This window comes from Homo sapiens, chromosome 3 (genome assembly GCF_000001405.40).
Source record: "Homo sapiens chromosome 3, GRCh38.p14 Primary Assembly".
Taxonomy (NCBI): domain Eukaryota; kingdom Metazoa; phylum Chordata; class Mammalia; order Primates; family Hominidae; genus Homo; species Homo sapiens.
This window is the reverse complement of record NC_000003.12, coordinates 17564968-17587188: the sequence shown is the minus strand read 5'-3', so window position 1 is coordinate 17587188 and position 22221 is coordinate 17564968. Positions and strand designations below refer to the sequence as shown.

Genomic DNA, 22221 nt, shown 5'->3' with positions numbered 1-22221 from the left:
TAAATATATCTGTGTGTATGATTATTTATGGAGGTGTATTACTAAAGATGAAAAAAAATTTTTCTTTAGAAAAAGGCTGTGAAAATTAATTTTAACACCTAAATATAATATTCACTTGTCATCACTGATGCATCTGTATTCTAATTTTACATTTTATTAATGCTTTAGAATCCATTTTCAATGGAATTTTTTTCACATTTGTTTTCAAATGTCAAATTTCCATTTTTTATATTATGTGATTTTAAAATGTGATATTATTTTACTATGTGTTAGAATAGTATGTTCCTCATTTCAACACTTTTATGTCATTTCAGTGCAAAGTTAAATGAAGTAAGAGGTGATTGTTTTATAGTGAAGCCTGATGTTTTTGTATTATATATGTAAAATGCCATTTATTTTTGGTATTACAAAATACCTCCCTTTCTTCCAGGAGTTAAAATAGGTGAAGGAAAGAGTGATTAATGAGTAGGCTAACGTTTGTCCTCTAAGAACTTAAAATATTTTGATAGAAATTGTTTTTAGCCTGCTTTTTGTATTGTTTGATATGATATGATTTGTATTGTTTGATATGATTTAGGGTTTCTCCTGGGATAGGAGCATTTGCAGCTATTTTATTTATTTATTTTTCTAGGGAGATGCTGTTTTTCCAGCAGCTCAGTTAAGGGAGAACTTAGTTTGTCTCTGTTTCTTGATTCCTCTTCAATTTCTGTTTGCAAACCAAGACTTGTGTTTGGAGAACTCTATTGTACTGAGCCTAAGTCATTTTTGATCTATAACAAGAACATGCATTTTCACATGTCAACCGGATTTGTGGACCAGTAAAGTTCTCCCACAAGGTAAGCATATATTTATTCAAAATATACATTTTAAGATAGAATACTCTCAATACCCTTACCATAGTAATGTGTTCCATAGATTTTTGTACAAAAAAAAGGTATGTGTGTTTGTGTACTTCTGCCAAATTTAGATTGAAGACTCCTTCAGGGAATAGTGTTGGCCAACCAACACAGTTACTCAGTTTCCTGATCTGTTTCTGTCCTACCTCCTGCTTTTAGTCACCAGTTTCCATTCTTTCCCCTTTGTCCATTGTTTTTCTTCACAGTTAGCTGAGTCTTCAGGGTGTCTTTTAAAAATGGTTTCCCACCAGCAGACTTTAGCATTTTCCTTAGGGAATCTTTTTGTATCCATAGGCCTTTTATTTTCTTTTCTCCACTCCCCACTCCCCCACCATTTCTTAAAGAAGTAGGAAATTAGAATGATTGAACTTACAGTTGGAGGTATATCAGATAGATAACATTCACAATTTTTTTCCTTATTACAACCCATAATAAGGAATAAAATGTACATTTATGAGCCGAGTCCTATAGGTATAAATGAAACCGAAACAAAAATTTAATTCTTACTCCAGCTGCCTGGGATGTGCTGTATGCTATATTATATTATTTGTATATTTTATTTAATGCTTCCTGGTATGTGTCACTTATGCAGTTTCAGAAACCCAGCTTTAGATCACTTGAATGTTTGTTCATCACTGATTTGTTGGGAGAGTAAAAGAAATGAGACAGTTTCTTTTCTGCCTCAGTGAAGCTGCCTTTTCTTTTGTCTCTTCTGTGCTTCTCATTTCTTTCCCCATTCAATATAAGCTGTCAAATGACTTAGAGAACTGGGTAACTGCTGGGAAACACCACAGTCCTTCCTGGGTTCTTTTGTAGTAAGAACATAAGCACAAGTACTGAGATCTCAGAATTTTAAAGGAGAATAAATTTTTGATATAATCATGTCTTTTTAGTAAGGTGTATATTTCTTTATTCTCTTCTTGTTTGTTTTGTCTGTCTAAATTGTATGTGCATCCTGATGCCCTCAAATCATTCTTGGTTTGAAACATGTTTAACTTTTTACATCCTGAATATCAAGTTAGAATAACCCAGATCCTTGCCCAAAGTGATCTCTTCTAGTACCCATTCCCATTTTATTTAACATTTGTATCTTTTTAATAAATTGAAGGCATTTTTTCCTGATGTATAAAAATAATATTTTTTATTAGAAAGTTTCGTAAATACAGAAAAACATAAAGAGGATAAAAATTATCCCTAATCCTGGTTGGGCATGGTGGGTCACACCTGTAATCCCAGCACTTTGGGAGGCTGAGGTGAACAGATTGCTTGAGCTCAAGAGTTGGAGACCAGTCTAGGCAACATAGCAAATCCCCATCTCTGTCGAAAAAATAAATGTTGGCTGGGCACAGTGGCTCACGCCTGTAATCCCAGCACTTTGGGAGTCTGAGGCGGGTGAAATACGAGGTCAGGAGTTCGAGAACAGCCTGGCCAACATGGCGAAACCCTGTCTCTACTAAAAATACAAAAAACTAGCTGGGCGTCATGTCAGGCACCTGTAATCCCAGCTACTCATGAGGCTGAGGCAGGAGAATCTCTTGAACTCGGGAAGTGGAGGTTGCAGTGAGCCGAGATCGTGCCACTGCACTCCAGCCTTGCATCTCAAAATAAATAAATACGTAAGTCAACTTAAAAAATTAAAAAAATTATTTTGAATCCTGTCATACAGAGATGAACTGATACACCATTTAAAAAATGAAGTTTATTACATTTAATTTTACTTGAATTTCACAGAGGAAAAAAAAACCCTGAAATGAAGCTTAAAGAATTATTGAACCTCATATACGTTCCCCCATCCTAAAACCATAAATATGAGTTTCTAAGAGCCTTCCGAAGTTAAATAACATTATGAACATCTTTGGAAATCTTTACTCTGGAAATAAGAAAATAGAAAGAGTGAACTGAAAGCAGAATATCTTTTATGTTAAGATAATCTATTGAGGTGAAATTTATGTAACACAGAATTCACCATTTTGAAGTGAACAGTTCCGTGGCGTTGAGTACACTGACAGTGTTATGCAACCTTCCACCTCTGTCGAGTTTGGAACATTTCCATCATGCCAAAGTAAAGTACCTTACCCATTTAGCAGTTTGTCTTAATTCTGCCTTAGCCCTAGGCTCTGACATCGATCAATCTGCGTTCTGTCTCTATGGATTTAATGTGTTCTGTATATTTAATATGAATGTAATCATAAAATATGTGACGTTTTGTGGGTGGCTTCTTTCGTTTAACATAATATTTCAAATTTTTATTCAAGTTGTAGCACTTATTATTACTTCATTACTTTTCTTGGCTGAATGCTAGTCCATGTGTTTATCCATTTATTCGTTCATACACATTTTGTTTGCTTCTACTTTTTGGTTACTCTGAATAGTGCTGCTCTAAACGCGTGTACATGAACCTGTTTGAGTACCTATTCTCTGTTCATATGGGTATGTACCTAGGAGTGGAATTGGTAGGTGATATTGTAATTCTATGTTTAACTTTTTGAGGAACCATCAAACTGTTTTCCATGGCAGTTGCATCATTTTACATTCCTGTCAGCAGTGTATGAGGGTTCTACTTTCTTTGAGACAGTCTTGCTCTGTTGCGTGGCCTGGAATGCAGTGGCGCAATCTTGGCTCACTGCAGCCTCCGTCTCCCAGGTTCAAGCGATTCTCTTGCCTCAGCCCCCTGAGTAGCTGGGACTACAGATGCATGCCACTATGCCCGGCTAATTCTTTGTATTTTTAGTAGAGACGGGGTTTTTCCATGTTGCCAAGGCTGGTTTTGAACTCCTGAGCTCAGGCAGTCTGCCCACCTTGGCTTCCCAAAGTGTTAGGATTACAGGCATGAGCCATCGCACCCAGCCGGGTTCCACTTTCTCTACATTTTGCTAACACTTACTATTTTCCATTTTTTTTTTTGATTATCAGGAAATCTTATGATACCGATAAATGACTTTTAACAAAGTAGAAAAATGATTATATATTTCTTACATATTTAAGTAATTTATTTCTTTTATTTTTTTGAGATTGGGTGTCACTCTGTCTCCCAGGCCAGAGTGCAGTGGCATGATCTCAGCCCACTGCAACCTCTACCTCCTAGGCACGAGCAATCCTCTTACCTCAGCGTCTCAAATAGCTGGGACCTCAAGCGTGAGCCACCATACCTGGCTAATTTTTGTATTTTTTGTAGAGACAGGGTTTTGCCATGTTGCCCAGGCTGGTCTTGAACTCTTGAGCTCAAGTGATCCACCTACGTTGGTCTCTTAAAGTGCTGGGATTATAGGCATAAGCCACCATTCCTGGCCCGTATTTTATTTCTTATTTAGCAGTTATATTTTTTATATAGTAATTATATCATTTCAGACTATCATTCAGTTCTGTTTTCTCTCCAGAATTACCTGACCAGTGAACATATTTTTCCCAGAATAAAAGGTTTCTTACTTTTCTTCATTTGCTCAAAATCTAATATTTTCTTTCACATTTGTTTAATGTTTTGTTTTGTTTTTGTTTTTGTTTTTTTTTGCTTTTTGGTATCTGTGTAGTTTTTTTAATCAGAGTTTAAATTGCCATTCTTTTTGTTTAATGCTCATAATGGATTTATGCCTGTATTTTTTTTTTTTTTTTGATAGCATACTACAGTTGTACTTTTGGGCTCCTAAATCATAAAATAACATTTTGGTAAAGTTATTTACACTCTTTTTGAAGACATTTCTCAACCTCAACCTCCTATTTAAATATAAGCCAGAGCTTCCCTGTTCTTTTGCTGGCATGTCTTTCGGAGATTTCTTTTCACTATACTACTGAGTTAGCTGTACTGTTTTTTATATCCCGTTTTTGTCATCATCCATAGATTCCTTTAACTACAACTTCAGAAAGGCTAAATGGGAGATGAATTTTCTGAGTTGTGTATGTTAGAAAAATTTTCTATTTTATTTTCACAGTTGATTGATGATTTAGCTAGGTATATGTTTATAGTTTAAAGTGATTTTCCTCTCAACTTTGAAAGCTTTGCTTTAATTTTTTCTACTATCCATTATTCCTCCTGAGAAATTTGAAGCCAGTCTTACTCATTGAGAACTGTTTTAGGAGCTATCACAGTGAAAACAAAATGGAGACAAATCCTTAACTTGATTAAGCTTACATTCCAGGGTGGAGAGGTTGATAAGTAGCAGCATAAATAAATAAAATATGTATTACCTTAGATAGTGATTCTGTGAAGGAAAATAAAGCAGCCAGTGGGAGATAGAGAGTTTGGAGTATAGGGAGAAGAATGGAAATTTTAGATAGAGTGGTCAAGGAAAGCCTCACCGATAAGGTAACATGTGAGTAAAGACCTGAAGGAGGTGAGAGAGTGAGGTGAAGGATCACGAAGTACGAAGGTCCTGAGGCAGGAATATTTATGATGCATTCACAGAACAGCCTCAAGGTCAGTGTGGCTGCAGCAAAGTGAGTAGAGAGTAGTAGAGATGTAACTGAGAATCTAGGTCTTTTAAGGATTTATATTTAGATTTCATTTTGAATGAGATGGGGATCCATTAGTGAGTGTCATCATCTGCTTTGTAGTTTAAAAGAAATACTGGCTGCCAGCTTGAGAATAGATTTTAAGGGAGCGAGGGCAGAAGCAGAGAGATCATGTAGAAGATTCCAGGTGAGACATAATTTTGGTTTGAGTAACAGTATTTGCTAATGGATTGGATTTGAGTTATGCAAGAAAGAGATGAGTCAAGAATGACTCCAAGAGTGTTTGGCCTGAATAACAGAAAAGATAGAGAGCTTCATTTAATGAAGAAGGGGAAAATTATATTATAAAAGGAGTACATTTCTGGGAGAAGATCAGGAGTTTTGTTTTGAATATAAGTTGGAGATGTCTATCTGGTAGAGAGGTCAAGGAGGCAGTTAGACACATTGGTCCAGAATTCAGTAAAGAGGTCTGAGATGAAGGAAAAACTGTGGAAGTTGTTAATTGTAGATGGTATTTAAAGGTATATATTAGTCCATTTTCATACTGCTATGAAGAAATACTTGAGACTAGGTAATTTATAAAGAAAAAGTGGTTTAATGGACTCACAGTTCACATGGCCAGGGAGGTCTCACAATCATGGCGGAAGGCAAAGGAGGAGCAAAGACCTGTGTTACATGGCACAGGCAAGAGAGTGTGTGCAGGGGAACTGTCCTTTATGAAACCATGAGATCTCATGAGACTTACTCACTATCACGAGAACAGCATGGGGAAAACCCTCCCCCATGATTCAGTTACTTCCCACCAGGTCCCTCCCACGACACGTGGGGATTATGGGAGTTACAGTTCAGGATGAGATTTAGGTGGGGGCACAGCCAAACCATATCAAGATGTAACATTGATGCAGTACAGTAAATATAGATAGAGAAGACTTAAAATGCTAGCCTTGGGGCACCTTTAGTAAAGGGGTTAGGAGAAAAAGAGGAATTAGTAGAGGTGGCTAGAGAAGAAAACACAGTGAGGTTAAGAGGAAAACTCATTGGTCTTTCAGAATATCTGAAAGTGATGTAAATGTTTGAAGGAAGAGGGGAAATCTTATTTATAGGTGAAGTTAAAGATGGACAATTCAAGGGAGAGTGGGAGGAGAAACAGGTGGCAGCTTAAGGGGGAAGTTGGAGTGAAGAGAGGATTTTTTTAAATAGGAGAGAAATAGCATACTAATGGGAGTGCTCCAATAGAGAGGAATAAACTGATGATGCAAGAAAGAGTGGAAAATTGTTAAAGCAGTGTGTACAAGTAGAGAGATCACCTTAAGTAGCAGCATGGATGGTTTATTCTTAATAAGAAGGAAGGCGGAGCATATCGGCACAGATCCATTGTTAAAAAGCATTTGGTTGATCTTTGTACTATCTCCAGGATATATTACATACAAGAAGCATCATGATTACTTGCTTCCCACTTCTTTAGGCTTCTTCTGTAGTTCTCCTTTGTGGTTTTTTTCTTTAACAATGTAAATGTATGGTGTTTCCTAGTTTAGGAATTCTGTGGTTAAAAAAAAATTCTGTTAATGGAATTAAGGCATACAGTAGGCATTTATGAATTATATGCCTGTTGATTTTTTTTAAAGTTTCAAGTTTGTAAATATTTCTGTAAAATGCTCTGGAGAACCATCAAGCTGCAGTTAATAGTAGAAACAGGGCCATCAAAATCCTTTCTTATACCAGGTTGGGGAGTTTATGGTTCAAATTCACTTAACAGAAAATGATAAAGTACTTCATGGCCTGGATTGCTTGAACAAGGGTGAAATTGTAATTGTAAAAAATCTACGGATGCCAAGTGTCTATTGTTCTTTATGATTCATATTTCTCCTGGTCACATCAGCCCCGGAGCACACTTGATAAATATGGGATACAATAATGGCATTAGAAGAATTCTCACATTTTCCTATTGGTATAATGTGATCTCTGCTGTCTCTCTCAACAGTGTTGCCCTTCTTACCCATTCTTGCTCAAGTTCCCAGCTCTCTGTAGTGATAACAGTAGTTCCCTCTTATCTGTGGTTTTGCTTTCTGTGGTTTTACTTATGGCAGGTACTCAGCTAACTGGAGAATTACTTTTAAAATAATGTATCCTTTATAAGAAGGTTTGCTTTTTAAATTGGATGATGTGAGGAAAATTCTTTTTTTTTGGTCAAATTGTGAATGTTTTTAGGTTTTCACTATATGTGCAGTAGACATAGCTGCCACTTTTGTGATAAACAGTGATAAAAATAGTGAAGTGTAGGAAATACAAAATTTGTTTCACCTTCTCTTCCTCTTACTCATTTTTACAAGGGCTTAATGAACAGTGAAATTGACCAACAGTTTCACCTCCTTTTCCTTGCAGTTCTGGTAGTCTCTTGTGGCACTTAGTACACCTGAAAGAAGCAGCAGGAAGATTGACAAATTGGAAGGGAGGATTATATGAACATACGATCAGACAAATAGAAAATTAACCCATAATAATTGAAAGATGGCTGTATTTCTAATTTACATTCACCTGTGTAAAACACATTTGTCAAATATTTCTATTTTACAAAGAAATTTGAAATTTTTACTTCAGGTTACACCCACTTCAGGAGTATTTGGGTTTGTACTAGTTTGTAGTGTGAACAACTGACCCATTTAAAGGGAATTAAAAAAAACTTTTTAATTTGTAATGATTTGACAATTATGCCACTAACATTATACTTATTAATGAGACAGAATAAGATTTCAATTCTTAAAAGTATGTGCCCCACATTTTATAAGTGGTATGAACAATAATTTTGCCTCAACTTAAGAATTACTTACTTTATTCAGTATACTAGTAAACAGTGGCTGAAGATTCTTTGAAAACCCAAATTATTTGGAATATATTTGAAACCTCTGCTCTTATGTACTTCTGTTCAAAATATTTCAGGGTTTTGGATTATTTAGGCTTAGAAGTTTGGAGTTCACAATTTCTGTCTTCTAAAGACTTAGAAATATGTTAGCATTATTGGAACCAAATAGTTTTACCCACATAATTGCCATTCAGCTCTAGCAACATGGAATAAAACTTACTGAAATAAGTCATTATTTCCTATGTGAAATATGCATTTAAAATGTTTTTTACCTGATGAGCATGTATTTTAATTCTTAAAATAGAACAGAGGAAATGAAGTATTTCTATAGCTAGGGGAGATTGTCAGCTCAAGTTCAAGAGTATGATGTTTGACATTAGGCCAAGGATATTTTCTAAGTTTTAAAAAATGTTTATTTTGTAAAATACATGTGCTTTCACTATGTCTTATGTGTTAATCTAATTTCCCATTGAAGTCACCGATTAAAGGGAATTGTGTACCAGTAGGGTTCTAAAACCTTGACATTATTTTAATCTGATAACAAATGGGTTTAAGTTCATGTTCTTTCAGTTGTTGGCAACAAATCTAAACCTGTATTTTTTGGATTTATGAGGATAAGTCCTGCTTTGGCAATCTTGTAGATTCCCAAGAGAATAGTTAAACAGTGATTAATCATTGTTTCTTCACTGAGTGTGCAGAAAAGAATGGAAAAGCTGCATTTCACACTTCTGAAGCAATTAATCCCCATGATCTTAGCCAGGTTTGTCTTGTAGATAAGTCGGGATACAAAACGGTACTTAATTTATCAATGTATGCATGCCATAAAGTATAAAACACACAATTTATTTCATATCATTTATAGTCAAATGTAAAAAAAGAGTGACTTTGCCATATCCAAGAGTGTTTCCTACATTACCTTCATATAAACTAAGTACCAGAGATTACAATGGGTTTCCTGTTTATTGTGCACATCTGGTGCAGTCACTATGCATTTTCTCATTCACTTGCTGGCATTTTTAGTGATTGTGGCATAAATCACCTTGCTAATCAGAAACATAAGTGACGGGAAGTCATCTCCTTTTTTTGAACAATGGGAAAAAACATATGGCTTCTTAGACAGTACTTGGCTGTTATACTATTTATGTGGCATTTTATTCTGTATTTAGAATTTCATATTAATTGCAGTAGTTTGGTTGAAGGCATTGAACATTCAGGGTTTATGGTCAGAGTATTTGTTTTATACCTCTTTCATAATAAATAAGCAAAAAGTAAAATTACATGCCTTGTATTTAGAAATTTTTAAAAATTTAATTCTCAAAGGGTAGTGAATATAATAACCTTTTATTCTTGGCTTTATGATACTTACCTACCTATTCCTCCCACTTTCATTTTTCTTATTATTGAATGGCAGGAAAAGATTCATTTTAAATGTATAAATTTCAAATGAAAATTAATTTGTTCAGATAAGTTTTTAAAAATTTCTAAATACAAAGGTGGAAAGAGTTGTTGAGATTAAGATGAGTTGAAGACAGTATATATTTAAAAATGCTTGTGTGGATGTTTACCTAGATCTGCACTGATACAGTAATTCCAAGTTAAAAGTTAGTTTTTAATTATATCTGTTTCAAAACACTGCACTGATCAGAGTAAATGTTACTGTCTTTAAAGTACTAAGATGTAAATTGATAGTAGTTTGCTTTTGCATTTTTGGTGAATTGCTGTTTATTAGTTGGAATCGCTTTTTGCAGACACTACAGCTTAAAGTAAAGCTTTGTAAAACTCAAGAAATTTTTATATGCAGACTTTAAAGACTGCCTTCAATGTCTGTGATAGAGGGCTTACTGTAGGTGTAGTTCCCCTCCCCACCCCCACTTTCAATGGGTTGTACATATAATAGCCTTTTACTCTTGACTTTATAATACTTACCTACCACTTTCATTTTTCTTATTATTCAGTGGCAAGAAAAAATTCCCTTTAAATGTGTAAATTTCAAATGAAAATTTGTTCAGAGAAATTTGTGTCTTTTACAGTTTTTTTCCTATATTACATGTGATTATAAATTAGTGAGGTAAATTTTTAACAAATATATCACAGCTTATTTCTCAAAATTTGTGTTATTTCTTTTTAAGTGTTCCCCTTGGGAAGACGTACACATATTCCATCAATCAAAGTACTTTTGGAATGCCTGTTTTTGAAATTTCTGTAGTGGAATTGATGTCTAACTGCTCAAAATGGGTACTTTGAAGGGAGACAAGATTCATTTTGTGTATACACGTGCTACTATTTTTCTTAAAAAACAAATCAGTCAATCAATCATAATAGCTTGTCTTATACCCTTGTATACCTTATAGATAATTGGGCCCTATGAATAGAAATACAGTGTTGAAAAACTACCTGGATTTTAAATAAATGGCCATATTTATCCATTTTGTTTTAGAAATCTTCTATGATATTGTCTCAGGGACCACCTGCAGCAGGAGCCCACAAATTGAATAAATGCAACATAAGGAGAGGATTTTTTTTTTCTGTTGTTGCTTGTTTCAAAAATGCTACTATCCAGATTCTCTATTAAGGTACATTGTGCTATTTTAAATATTATAGTTATAACTGAATTAAGACCTTCTTTCTAGATTAAAATTATCCAGTGCTTAGAATTGACCGAAATCTGTACTTTACTGCCTCACTTCTTGGCTGTTCTTACTTCCTTCATGCTCTTAAAACCTCCATCACCTCTCAACCCCCATCATTTTTTTAAGATTGAGGTGTATTTCTTGTAGAGATCAATTTAAAAGCAATACAATCTTAAACACGTGTACGTGTTTCCTTTTTCTTCATCAAAATGTAAAAATTCTAGGAGGATTGGATATTAAAATCCAAGAATAGGCAATTTAAGGGATGGCTAAGAGTATCAAAATAAATGAGGAAAAATAAAGAGTTCTATTCTTAGTAACTGAACATTTTGGAATTTGTCAGTAATGGAACTTTGAGGAAAAATTTCTTGCATAAAGCACTTGATGGGAAAAATATATTAACCTAAAATATTTGCATATTCATTATGTTTACAAAGCCAAGAATTTAATTTCTAAATGTATATCAATTTTTGAATGAAATTGAAGTACCAGTGATGTTGATATTCACCATACATTTAGTTTAAATGTTGCTTATATTTTTAGAGAATTTGCATTATTTTCTTTTAGTTCATTCTCTGTCTTATTTACATTCATAGTTTGTTGGTACATATTACCCTCCAAAGTAAATTCTGAACTGAGTACAGACCTTGCAAGAAAAGTTAATGTCCTTTTCTTATGTTCTCATGACATAAAGAACGAATCCTCCCCATCATAGGGATAACCTTACTAATAATTCCCAGCCAGGCAGGTTATTTCCTGCTGTTCATCTTTTCAGCCATCCCTTTCCTTGTGTTTATCTGGAAGTGGCTTTTGGAATGCCAGTAGAGGTGATGTGCCTACCAGTGGTGAACCTAGAGTGCCTTCTAGCCCCTGAAATACTATGGGGTAGGTGGTATGACACTGTTGGCCTAATCAAACCAAAATTCAGGTAAAAATGTTATTTGTGAACTTTTTCCAAGAAAGGGAGGCTTGAATTTCTAAATGGAAAAGGTATTTTGAATGGCATATGTAATTCAGAATTTTTATTTTATTTTTTTTTTTTTGAGGCAATATTCACTCTGTCGCCAAGACTGGAGTGCATGGTGTGATTAAGGCTCACTGCAGCATCAACCTCCAGGTCTCAAACCATCCTCCCACCTCAGCCCCCACTACAGGTACACATCACTATGCCCATCTAATTAAAAAAATTTTTTTGTAGAGATGGGGTCTCAGAATATTGCCTAGGCTAGTCTCAGATCTCCTGGGCTCAAGCAGTCCTCCTGCCTTGGCCTCCCAAAGTGTTGAGATTACAGGCCTGAGCTATTGCACCTGGGACATTGGAAATTTTTAATGGAGTATATTAAATATGAGAAATATGGAACAACCTAGGGTGTTTTGTGTTTAAATATTTCTGTCTTTTATGGTAATGTTTAAGGCTCTTTCTGGGTAGCATGTTTTCAGTGTGGTCCTCACTTGTTGTTCCTGTAGCAATTCAGCCTTATCTGGGATATGGAAGCCAGTAGGGTTGGCCTGCCAGTAGTCTTTGATATATAGGAACAGAAGTGAGTTTTTCCTATGAAAAATCAAGAATGAAGTGGCAAACCTGGTGACACAGTCTCAGTTGTTAGCAAAGCAGCATTTCTAAATTCAGCCTGAGGTCTGTTTTGTTTTCTGGTCCAGAAATCTTATACTTGCGGAGATAGATGGCTGGACTATGAGAAAATAAATCCGAAAGAACAAGAGAATCAGGAGATGTATTATAAGATGCTTAGAGACAAGCAACATGGCCCTTCCACTCTCTGAGAGACTAAGGCAAAGGGATTCTGTCTTCTTTGCCACAGTCCACGAATTAACTGTCATTTTGCAGACTCCACTGTGCTAACAGTGTTGGAAAGGTGTTGGGGCATCATGGTTGATAGCAGTGCTACTTGGTAAAGCAGTCTTTAGAGCAGAGGGGAGGTTGGGTTCAGTGGGAGTGGGGATATATTGAAGAAGCTGCAATGGTGCCCTGTTGGTGACAGTAGTGACCTATTATAATCAACAGTACAAAGCAGAGAGGGCAACAGATTCCTCAACGGGGGAACAGATGAGGCCCTCCCAAGCTTAATTTGGAGGCAATGGAAGGAGCAGACTTTAAATACCACACAGAGATGCACAAGGATAGATGTGCCATGGTAGGTGAGTGTTAGCTGATTGGTCTTTTTCAGGAACATGTGAGGTATTTCAGGATGATTCCCAGCAAAGTTCTGGGAGTACAGCTTAGAGAGGCCTTTCATTCTGCATTAAAGACAGAGGTGAGAGCGACCAAGCAGAAATTACATTTATTTTGTAAAGTAATTTACAAATTTATTGAGATACTAAAGGGCTCTCTTTTCCCCTTCCTTTTTAAACTTCTTTCCATGAAGTACTTTTTACGTACTGTGGCAGTGTTCTCGGTACTGGATCAACAGAGTTAAAATATGATTCTTTCCAATAGGAGCTTGTAGTTTATAGAGGAAAGAGTGGTAGTTAAAAAATTAACATCTAGTGTGATGAATTATGTGATAGATTAATGCATGGGAAACAGTGTACCTCAGAAGAAGGGTTCTTAAACCAGCTTGGAGGTTGGGATGGAGGATAGTTTCAAGGAAACTTCCCTGAGAGTGTGCAGGCCGAATGTATATGAAGAATGTTGAAAAAAGACACTCTAGGTGGAGGGAAATACTGCCTGGGGTGGCCCAGAAATGGCTACAAACCTAAAGTGTATTGAGGAACTGCAAGTAGTTTGAGTTTGCAAATTGAGTAAGAATGAGACCTGAGGCTATAAATAGAAAGCCTATAGATTTTTGAAGAGTCTTGTGGGTTATACCAGAAATTTGGGCTTTTTTTTTCTTTTTTCCTGTAAGAGGAAAGAAGAATGAAAAATAGAAATAGTTTCAAATTGCAGTGCTAGGCATTGTGATCTACTACAGGAATTTAAGCCAAGGAGAGGTGAGATCAGATTGTTAGAAAGAACACTTATGTGAAATTTAGCAATTAAGATGAGAGGCAAAATTCAAGAGCCCAGATACTTACAAGGAGACTTCACACTAAATTAAGTCAGAGTCAGAGGTAAGGGAGAAGAAGGGACTAAATTGATCATATCTAGCAGTTGGTTGCATCTGAGAAGACCGGAAAGGAAATACTGGCATTTGACCTGCGGGAGAGGTTGGTTGATAATGCCATCCCTACAAGAGAATACAAGAGGAGCGGTTTGAAAGGGTAGAGGATGACTTCTGTTTGGACATCCTGTTGATTAAAGATAGGAGATGGTTGAATGTATGGATCTCTCAAGGCCAGGAGATGAGTTACTGTAAGAGATATGTACATGGAATCACTAACATAAACGCTGGCATGAACTTATTTAAAAATTATTTGCTAAGCATTTCCCAAGCATTGTGTTTGGCATTGATAGAACAAAGATGAATAAGTGTATTTGATGGGTATCTAAGGTTGCCCAGGGATTATAGGTAGAGATAAGGAGAAGTCCTTGGATAAATTGACTGCTATCAAGCCAAGTGATGGGAAAAGAGAAACTTGTCCAAGAGATGAAGGAAGGAAACAGTGAATAATGATATGCCTGAATGCAGAGCTGGAGACAACAACACGACAGTGTGATAAATAGAGGGGTCAGAAGTGAAGTGCCAAAAGTGGTCGTCGAATTTGACATCTCTATGTAATGTGCCTTGGTAAGCAATTGGAGTGGAGTGATTTGAAGCAAAAATCAGCCCACAGGGTAGTTGATATATAAATGGGACATGAAGCATTATAGAGTATCAGTGAAAGGTACTATGTTACTATTATCTGAAGAGCTGACTGTCAGAGGGAGACACAGAGCAGCAGAGGTTTGTTGTTCTTGATTTAGGAGAGACGTCAAAGTGTTTATATATTGGTGAAAAAGGCCCAGAAGGGAGAGAGAGAGAGGTTGATGTTATAGGAGAGAAAGTAAGTTAAAGTGGTTAAGTTTGGAGCAATGTATATGAAAAGATGGAAAAGGTTTGGACTTCCTAGTGGAGGGATTAGTTTGTACAGGAGGAGGGCTCTTTTTTTTTTTTAACTGAGAATGCAAGAAATATGAAAAGTGTGGATTTGACATGATAATTCAGATCTCCCAGGAGGCAGATGCCAATATGGAATTAGAAGCTTAAGAGATTTCTTGGGGGATAATCTTAGGAGGGTGAGAGAGAGAGAGAGCAGGAATAAGCAGGGAAAGCCTTCAGACTCATGTAGGTTCAACACCTGTGATAAGAGAGAAGTAAGGAAGACAGATTGGAGAGGAGGAACCTCAGACTGCAATGCTGTTTTCAAAAAGTCCCAACCGAGACAATGGTGAGGGCATAATGCAGTAGGCAGAGCAAATTTTGCTTATTAGAGATGCCTTGTGTTGGCAGGAATGGTTTTTCCTGCAGCATCCCTGTCATTGTCTGGGAGCTGCATGGCCTTGTAAGATGTATGGAGAGAGTATGACCTTGGCTTAAACACTACAGTGAATCCTGAAAGTGTGAAAGCTGTATATTGTCAGCTGACTGTAATTCCTCACAGCATTTTGTCTCTTGAGTAGTACATCTCCTTGGCTGTCACAGTGGATGTATGTGTTTTAGTTGGGTGAAAGGATCAAAGATGGAAGGAATTCTTGTTGGTCCAATATTCTGCCTTCAGGAAATTAGGTGTAGAGTAAGAGAAGGTGTGTGAGATTGTGAGTGTTGGAAGGTTTTCAGGACTTGATTAACACAGAGAAAGAGAGAGCAATGGACTGGTGAGATATTAGTTGAAATAGTAGCTCATAGAGTCTAAGATTGATAAGAAAGGAAATGAAACAAGAAGGAGAATAAGAGATTTAAATGAAGTCAAAGAACTCGATTTTTTCAATTCACTTGAAAGTATTTGTACTGAGAGTTCAGGAATACGAGAACTTAAGGGTAGAGAGAATTGTGATGATAAAGTGGTATATTAGTTTAAGATTAATAGCCGAGCTGCACAAAATAGTGGTATTTTGAAATCCAATCGTGTGAATTGAGAATAAAATGTTAGCAGCACAAAATGACAATTATAGGTATGCATCATAGAATCACAGCCATAAATACCATGACAAAGTACAAAGGTATTGTAGTTGCTTAGTTTTTGTAGTATAACTTTTCTGTAAAGTTAAGTTTCAGAGTCACTTGTAATAATCAAGTTTCTTGATTGACTAAATCTATTCATTGTAAGGGAATGCAAATTTTTTTCCTAGGATTTTGTTTTTTTATGTGTTATTTTTCTCAATTTCTCTTATAGCCTAAGAAAATATTTTAATGCTTTTGTATTTCTCAACTCTTTTGAGTCAAGCATGTTGCCCTCTCCTGAAGGATCTGTTTGTGTCTCTAAAAGTCACCTGATAGAAACATTAGAGAGGTGAAACACCTCGAAAACCTGTATATCCAAACATAACTTTAACTGATTAAGGAAATGTAGCAGTATTAAATACATGTAAACAACTTTTTTGCAGTTCTCTCTTTGTAGAGGGGACTTAGAGGTTGCAACAATAACTTTAATAATTACAATAATGTAATAAGATGGAATGATGGAAGGATGAACAACTGTATCGACATTATGATACTGCAGTACAATAAAATGTAATTGAAGATTCTAGATGATAGACATGAGTGTATAATGTAATTTTTTTCACCTTTTCTGTATATTTGAAAATATAATAAAATACTGAAAAGGTAGAATAACATCTGCAACTTTGAAATGCATTAAAAATAGGATGGTCTAGTAGATGTAGATAGGTAAGTGATACAATACATACAGTAAAATGTCAATTGTAGAATCTAGGTAGTGGGTATGTGAATATTCACTGTAACATTCTTGTAACTTTTCTGAAAGTTTGAAAAATTTCAGAATAAAATGTAGAAAATAGTGTTATAAACAGGTTTTCTAGTTAGAGATCTGAGTTATAGTTGTGTGACGTTAGGCAAGTTACTTAATCTGTGAGCCATGGTTTCCTCATCTGTGAAGTGGGAATGATGCCTAGTTTGTAAATTGTTTTGAGTGTTAGGGGAAAAAAAAATCTGTCAAGCTGCTGGGAAATGATAGGCATTTGACAATGCTTCTGATAATACTGAAACCATACACTTCAAATTTATATATTGTATCTTGGTTCTTGCTTACTATTTTTAAAATTTCTGGATGTATGGGCCAGTTAACTTACTGGATGGAACTTGGGATAAGGTAAGGTCAAGGCCTCCACTTACAGAGTCTGTATGTTTCATACTGGCTAAGTCTCTGAGAGTCACAGCTTGAGCTCTACTGATGGAAAGTTGAGACCATTCTCATACCAATGGTGGAACCTCTGACTTTCTAGTACCTGTAAAAAACACTTTTGATGTACCTTTTAAAATATTTTCATTTTGTAAATTGCTTATAAGTTCTCCAAAGTGAAGAGACTGTATATATGTCTTAATTGATAATTTGATGTGAATATATGTATACCATATGTCACTGCTAGCTTTTTTGATGCATTAAGTTTTTTAGAATATATAGTAGATGAAAATGATATTTATTGCTAAATAAACATTTATAACATGTATTTATATATTTACAAATATATAAATATATATTGCCTAATAATCAGTAGTACTTTCTCTGTCAATGATGTTTTTCTTTTTTCCTAACAAAAACCAGTCATCCCTTGGTTCCTTTTTAAGAAATAAAGTTGGATTTCTGATTTGAGCTTCAGGCTCAAGTGCATTTATAATATACAGTCCTCTTGTTTTTTTATTTGCTCTGTTTCATATGCAGGGTGGATAAAAATTACTTAACTTTTTATATTTATGTAAATTTATTTAAAATTAAATTCAAATTTACTACCATATGCCTCATGGGCTAAACATAATATAGGCTATTATAATCATTTATATAAATTGGTTTTAAAAACCAGTTCAATATGTTGAATCAATATGTCATGAATTTCATATCTATATAGTTGCATCCTAGTAAATTCCATGACATGTACTTTTATAGCATACAGATTTTAAATAAAATTGAATAGACTTTTCTAGCCTACATTATGGAGGAACTTCTGTTATCATCCAGTCGACTGATTTAATATTAGAAAAGAACCATGATGCTTAAATGTGAACCAGCCAGATTTTGTATGTCTATCAAATCTTTTAGGATTGGGTTTTTATCTTTCAGTGATATTTGCTGATTATTCTCTGTTTGCAGATTTTTAGATGATGTAGGATAACATGAAAATAAATATTTACTTCAAGAGGTTATTCAGAGAGTGCCCTTGTTCTCTTTTTGTGGGTATTTGCCAGTGTATGGCTACAAATCTTTATGAAACATTAGGGTAATTACAAGGCATCTTTAAACCCATATACCTGTGTATTTTGTCAATTAATGAAGAGTAAAAGCACATCTTATGTGGTATGCAGGGCAGATCCGTGACTTTTTTGAAATTAAAATGCATCAACATTCAGATAGTTGTGGAGCAGTAGTTTATTAGGAATACCAAATGCTGTATAGCTACATGAGTAAACATTTAAACATGAGTAAAACTTGGGCAATTTTAAGATCGAAAGAAGAGATAAAAGGAAATATTGGGAGAAGAAAATAGGCAATATATAATGTTATATGTTAATATTATATATGTTATCCTTGAGCAAAAACCTAGAACAATAGTAATGAATTATAAAATATTAAATATGTTGCCTATTGCCAATACAGAACAAAAAGTTCCTTTTTATTCTTAAAAGATCTTCTTAAGATTTAAATTTTAATTACTTAAATTCTGGTAAAAATTTCAAATAAGGGAGATTTAGTATAATCAACTTATATATTTGTCATTGACTTTGAATCTTAACCAGTGCAATATCCTAGTTTTACTGTGAAATTATAAAAATTAGTTCTTTTATTAGTAAAATTTAATGGTTATACTACTGAATGCTTAACAAAATAATATTTAATATATAAACAAAAGCAGTTTCCACCACCTCTTTGACAATGTTCTCTTTTTTTAACCAAACTATGTTAATGTGGTTGACCTGCAGTTAGTCTTTATGGTTATAAAGAATTAGAATAATCTATTTTTAAAGAGTAATATATACCTTTCTAGCAACCTCTCTGTCATTCATTTACTAAATATAAATTGGTAGTGAAAATATATATATATTTTATATTCTTAGAGAATTTTTCCTAAACAGTTGCCTGTTAGGGTCATTTGTTCTAAAATATTATTCCTCCTACATTCAAAAACAAATGAAAAAGGTAGGAGGGTGTTCACCTTTTACGTTGCCATTCTAAATGCTTGCTAGAACATTATTATCAAAGCTTGTGATGCTCTCTGAAGAGAAGAGTTTGGAAGGAAAGCAGAATTAGTATACTCTTGTTGTTTTGATTTAGTAGGTCAGGGTTTTTAATTAGTTTTGTGTAGCCTGAGAATTTTATACCTGGATGCTTATTCTTGAATATCTTTTGGTCTTTTATACTTGTGTGGTTCTTACCTTGTCATATATAGGTATATTTTGTTTATTTAGAACAATTTCTAATTGTCTTCAGAAAGCATCAAAGACTGAAGACTAGGTAATTTATTTTCAATGTGTAGTATTAACTGCTGCGCTGTATATACATTTTATATTTATGTCAGGAAAGGGTTGCAGAGGGGTGCTTTAGAACCACCTTTTCAGCTCTAAATAGCTATTGTGTACATATGGTAAGGTACTGCTGCTTAACAATTAGTAACTGCTTTGATGAAGCTAAATTACATGTTTAAGTTCCCATCAGGAAGTCGCTTCACATATCTGTATTAATGTATTCAAGGATCGAGAAGGAAAGTTAATTTTCCAGCTTAAATATTTAATTCAAGCTTAAAATTTAGTCTGTAATTAGAGCTCCCAAATGGCAGGAACATGGAGTATTTGTCCATTTTAATTAGATTGTTGTTTACCTATTAATTATATATCATATCTTGTCATATAGTTTTGATGGTAACAGATGGTGCTAGGAGTTAGTAAGGGTTTGAACAAAATAAGATTCCACATGATTTATTAAGTTGCACTTTATTAGTGAGTGGTCTGCTTTAGTCAGGTTATTCTCCCAAATAAGGACTGTGAAACATTTCACTAATTTTGGTAATTATTCTTTTGTGGACTCTTAAGAAATATTGAGCATAAAAAGTCTGAGATGAGAGATGTCTATTTAGAAACAAAATGATTTACTTGAGGCATCTTTATATTTAAGGAATATGTATTACCAAATCATATAATTGGTATGAAGTTTAGTGTATTTTGGTAGGACAATGTTAGGGAAGCAAAATGTCATTTATTGGTAAAAATGTAGGCATAGGGAATGTTTTATGTATGTATACAAAATTATGATTTAGGATAGGAAAATAATAAGATGGTGATTTAGTTATGTATATCAAAGACATTCCTTTCCTGACTTTTGAATTTAACAGAAGGACTAGGTTCTTGTTTACCAAAATATTCTAAGAGCAATCTCTAGTGTCTAGTGAAGTTGAACAACAGAATTTCCATATTCAAAAAGTAAATGTCAACTAAATAGAAAGGCCTTCTAAGTTTGTTTATTCAAGATTTTATTAATTTTTCTGGTTACCTTCTCAGCTTTCTAAAAGGAATAAATTTTATTTATGTATATATGCATATATTTGTGAAGGGATACAGACAGTAAAACAGAGGAGAGGAAAAGGGAGAAAAGGAGGGCTTAAAATTTTAGGCTTTTAGTTGCAGGTAGTTTATTTAAAATTTATTGGAATCCTTAATATCATTAGCTTTGGTTTGTGTTACTATTTATTAACTCTTAAGATTCTTATTTTGAAATTGATGATCAGTGTTTTATAGCAAAAAGTAAACAGAAGGGCCTACTTTTATTAATTTCAAGATTTGCTCCAGACGGGGATCCCTGATTCCTGTGTATCAGATCTTCAAAACTGTGGCCTTCTGTTACCTGTTACCTTCAGTAAGCAGCTTTGTTTTTGTTAGTTGTGTTTTGTCTTGTCTTGTTTTTGTATTTTAGTTTGTCCCTACTTATCAGTTTTTAGAAATAAAATCTGCCTCTTGGTGTCAAAACTATTAATAATTCTTTGTGGTGGGGTGATATTTTAACGTAAGTGCATAATTCCACATGTTCACAGCAGACTGTTAGATGTGTAATCCATGAACTCTTAGTGTGTACAAAATGCTCACATAACTGAATATATTAAGCACTTAAGCTTATCTATGTTACAGAATTGAGATTTTTATCACTATATATTACAGTGTCTTTAAAACTGTTTGATTTGTTCAGGAAAGAACTAAGTGATTTTTTTTCTCTACTGAATGAGGAAATTGTCACTTTAATGTGGCTTTAGTTTCATGATTTTCCTCCGTAGAATACTGAGTGCTTAAAAAGCAATCTCAAATATTGTGCTATAATGTTATAATATAGGAAGGATACGGCAGTATAGTTATAGTAATTAAAGAGACTAGTGGAGGAAAAAATTATTTTTCATTTAGAATACCTGTAACCTTAGCTTCAAAGTTTGAATTTTTAACATTTCTTCCCTTTGTGAAAATGTGGGACTATATTTCCTTTGGCAAAGTTTTTCAAATGTAACATGCACTAATTTTCAAAAGAAGAACACTAAAAGCATGTAAATTACTCTAATTCGAAAAGTTATCCTTTATAAAGGAATGAGGAGATTATTTCTTTTTGTTAAAGCATGCGAAATATCATATACATTGGTTGTGCTGTTGTATCTGAGGCAGTAAATAAATAAAAAACTATTTGTTGTTGTCAACAGAAACAGCAATTGAAAATAGAAATGAGGTTTTCTTTGCAGTTGATTCTTTTCAGCTCCTGGCATATCACTTTGCCCTTTGGAAAGACTTTTATTTCAATAGCCAGCCATGTATATATTTACCTTTTCCAAAGAAAATTGTAGTACTGATTACTTTTTCTGTAATTGTTATGGTCTTTCTTTTCTTAAAATAGCAATATATGAAAAATATTTAGGAAAATGTAATGATTGATGAATTAGTCTTACTACTTAATACTGCTTTCAACGAACATAATTAACTGATACTCCTTAAGGACTTTAAACATAGTACTCAAAAACTGTTACTGAATGAACAGCTAATGTGCTTTGGAGTAGTGACCATTTGGGAAAAGATGATTGTAGGATTGACCTCCTAGTGATATACAATCAATGTTTTTAGACAGTGTCTTAAAAAAGTTAATAGGTTCCATTAAATGCAGTTCCTCAGACACATAAGTTTCCCCAGAACAGGTTTTAGGAGTAATAAGTACTGGGACAATAACAACTACATACTAATTATTCCAAACATTAAAGAACAGAGGTTTTTTGTTTTTTGTTTTCTAGTAGAAAAACCTAAGTTTAGAGTTCTCAACT

At 34.3% G+C, this 22221-nt stretch overlaps 1 protein-coding gene across 65 annotated transcripts in view, besides 1 other annotated feature; it reads left to right on the top strand.

The window, feature by feature from the left end:
* The window catches only part of TBC1D5 (TBC1 domain family member 5), a 585470-nt gene that overhangs the window by 155443 nt on the left and 407806 nt on the right, over positions 1-22221 (top strand). For 19 of the 65 annotated variants that reach the window (XM_017007556.2, XM_047449303.1, XM_017007555.3 and 16 more), the window contains one exon: positions 632-836. The exons of 42 other annotated variants lie outside the window; for them this stretch is intronic. The gene's annotated coding sequence lies outside the window, so the exon portion shown is untranslated. Of the gene's footprint in view, positions 1-631; positions 837-10639; positions 10776-22221 lie in introns of all 65 variants that reach the window. 4 more of the 65 variants (XM_047449317.1, XM_047449287.1, XM_047449302.1 and 1 more) reach the window with 2 other exon arrangements.
* Positions 13255-13344: an enhancer, noted in NCBI's record as "active region_19571". NCBI's record gives its function as "activates an Ori minimal core promoter by ATAC-STARR-seq in GM12878 lymphoblastoid cells {active_cell/tissue: GM12878}" and the evidence as "EXISTENCE:reporter gene assay evidence [ECO:0000049][PMID:35858748]".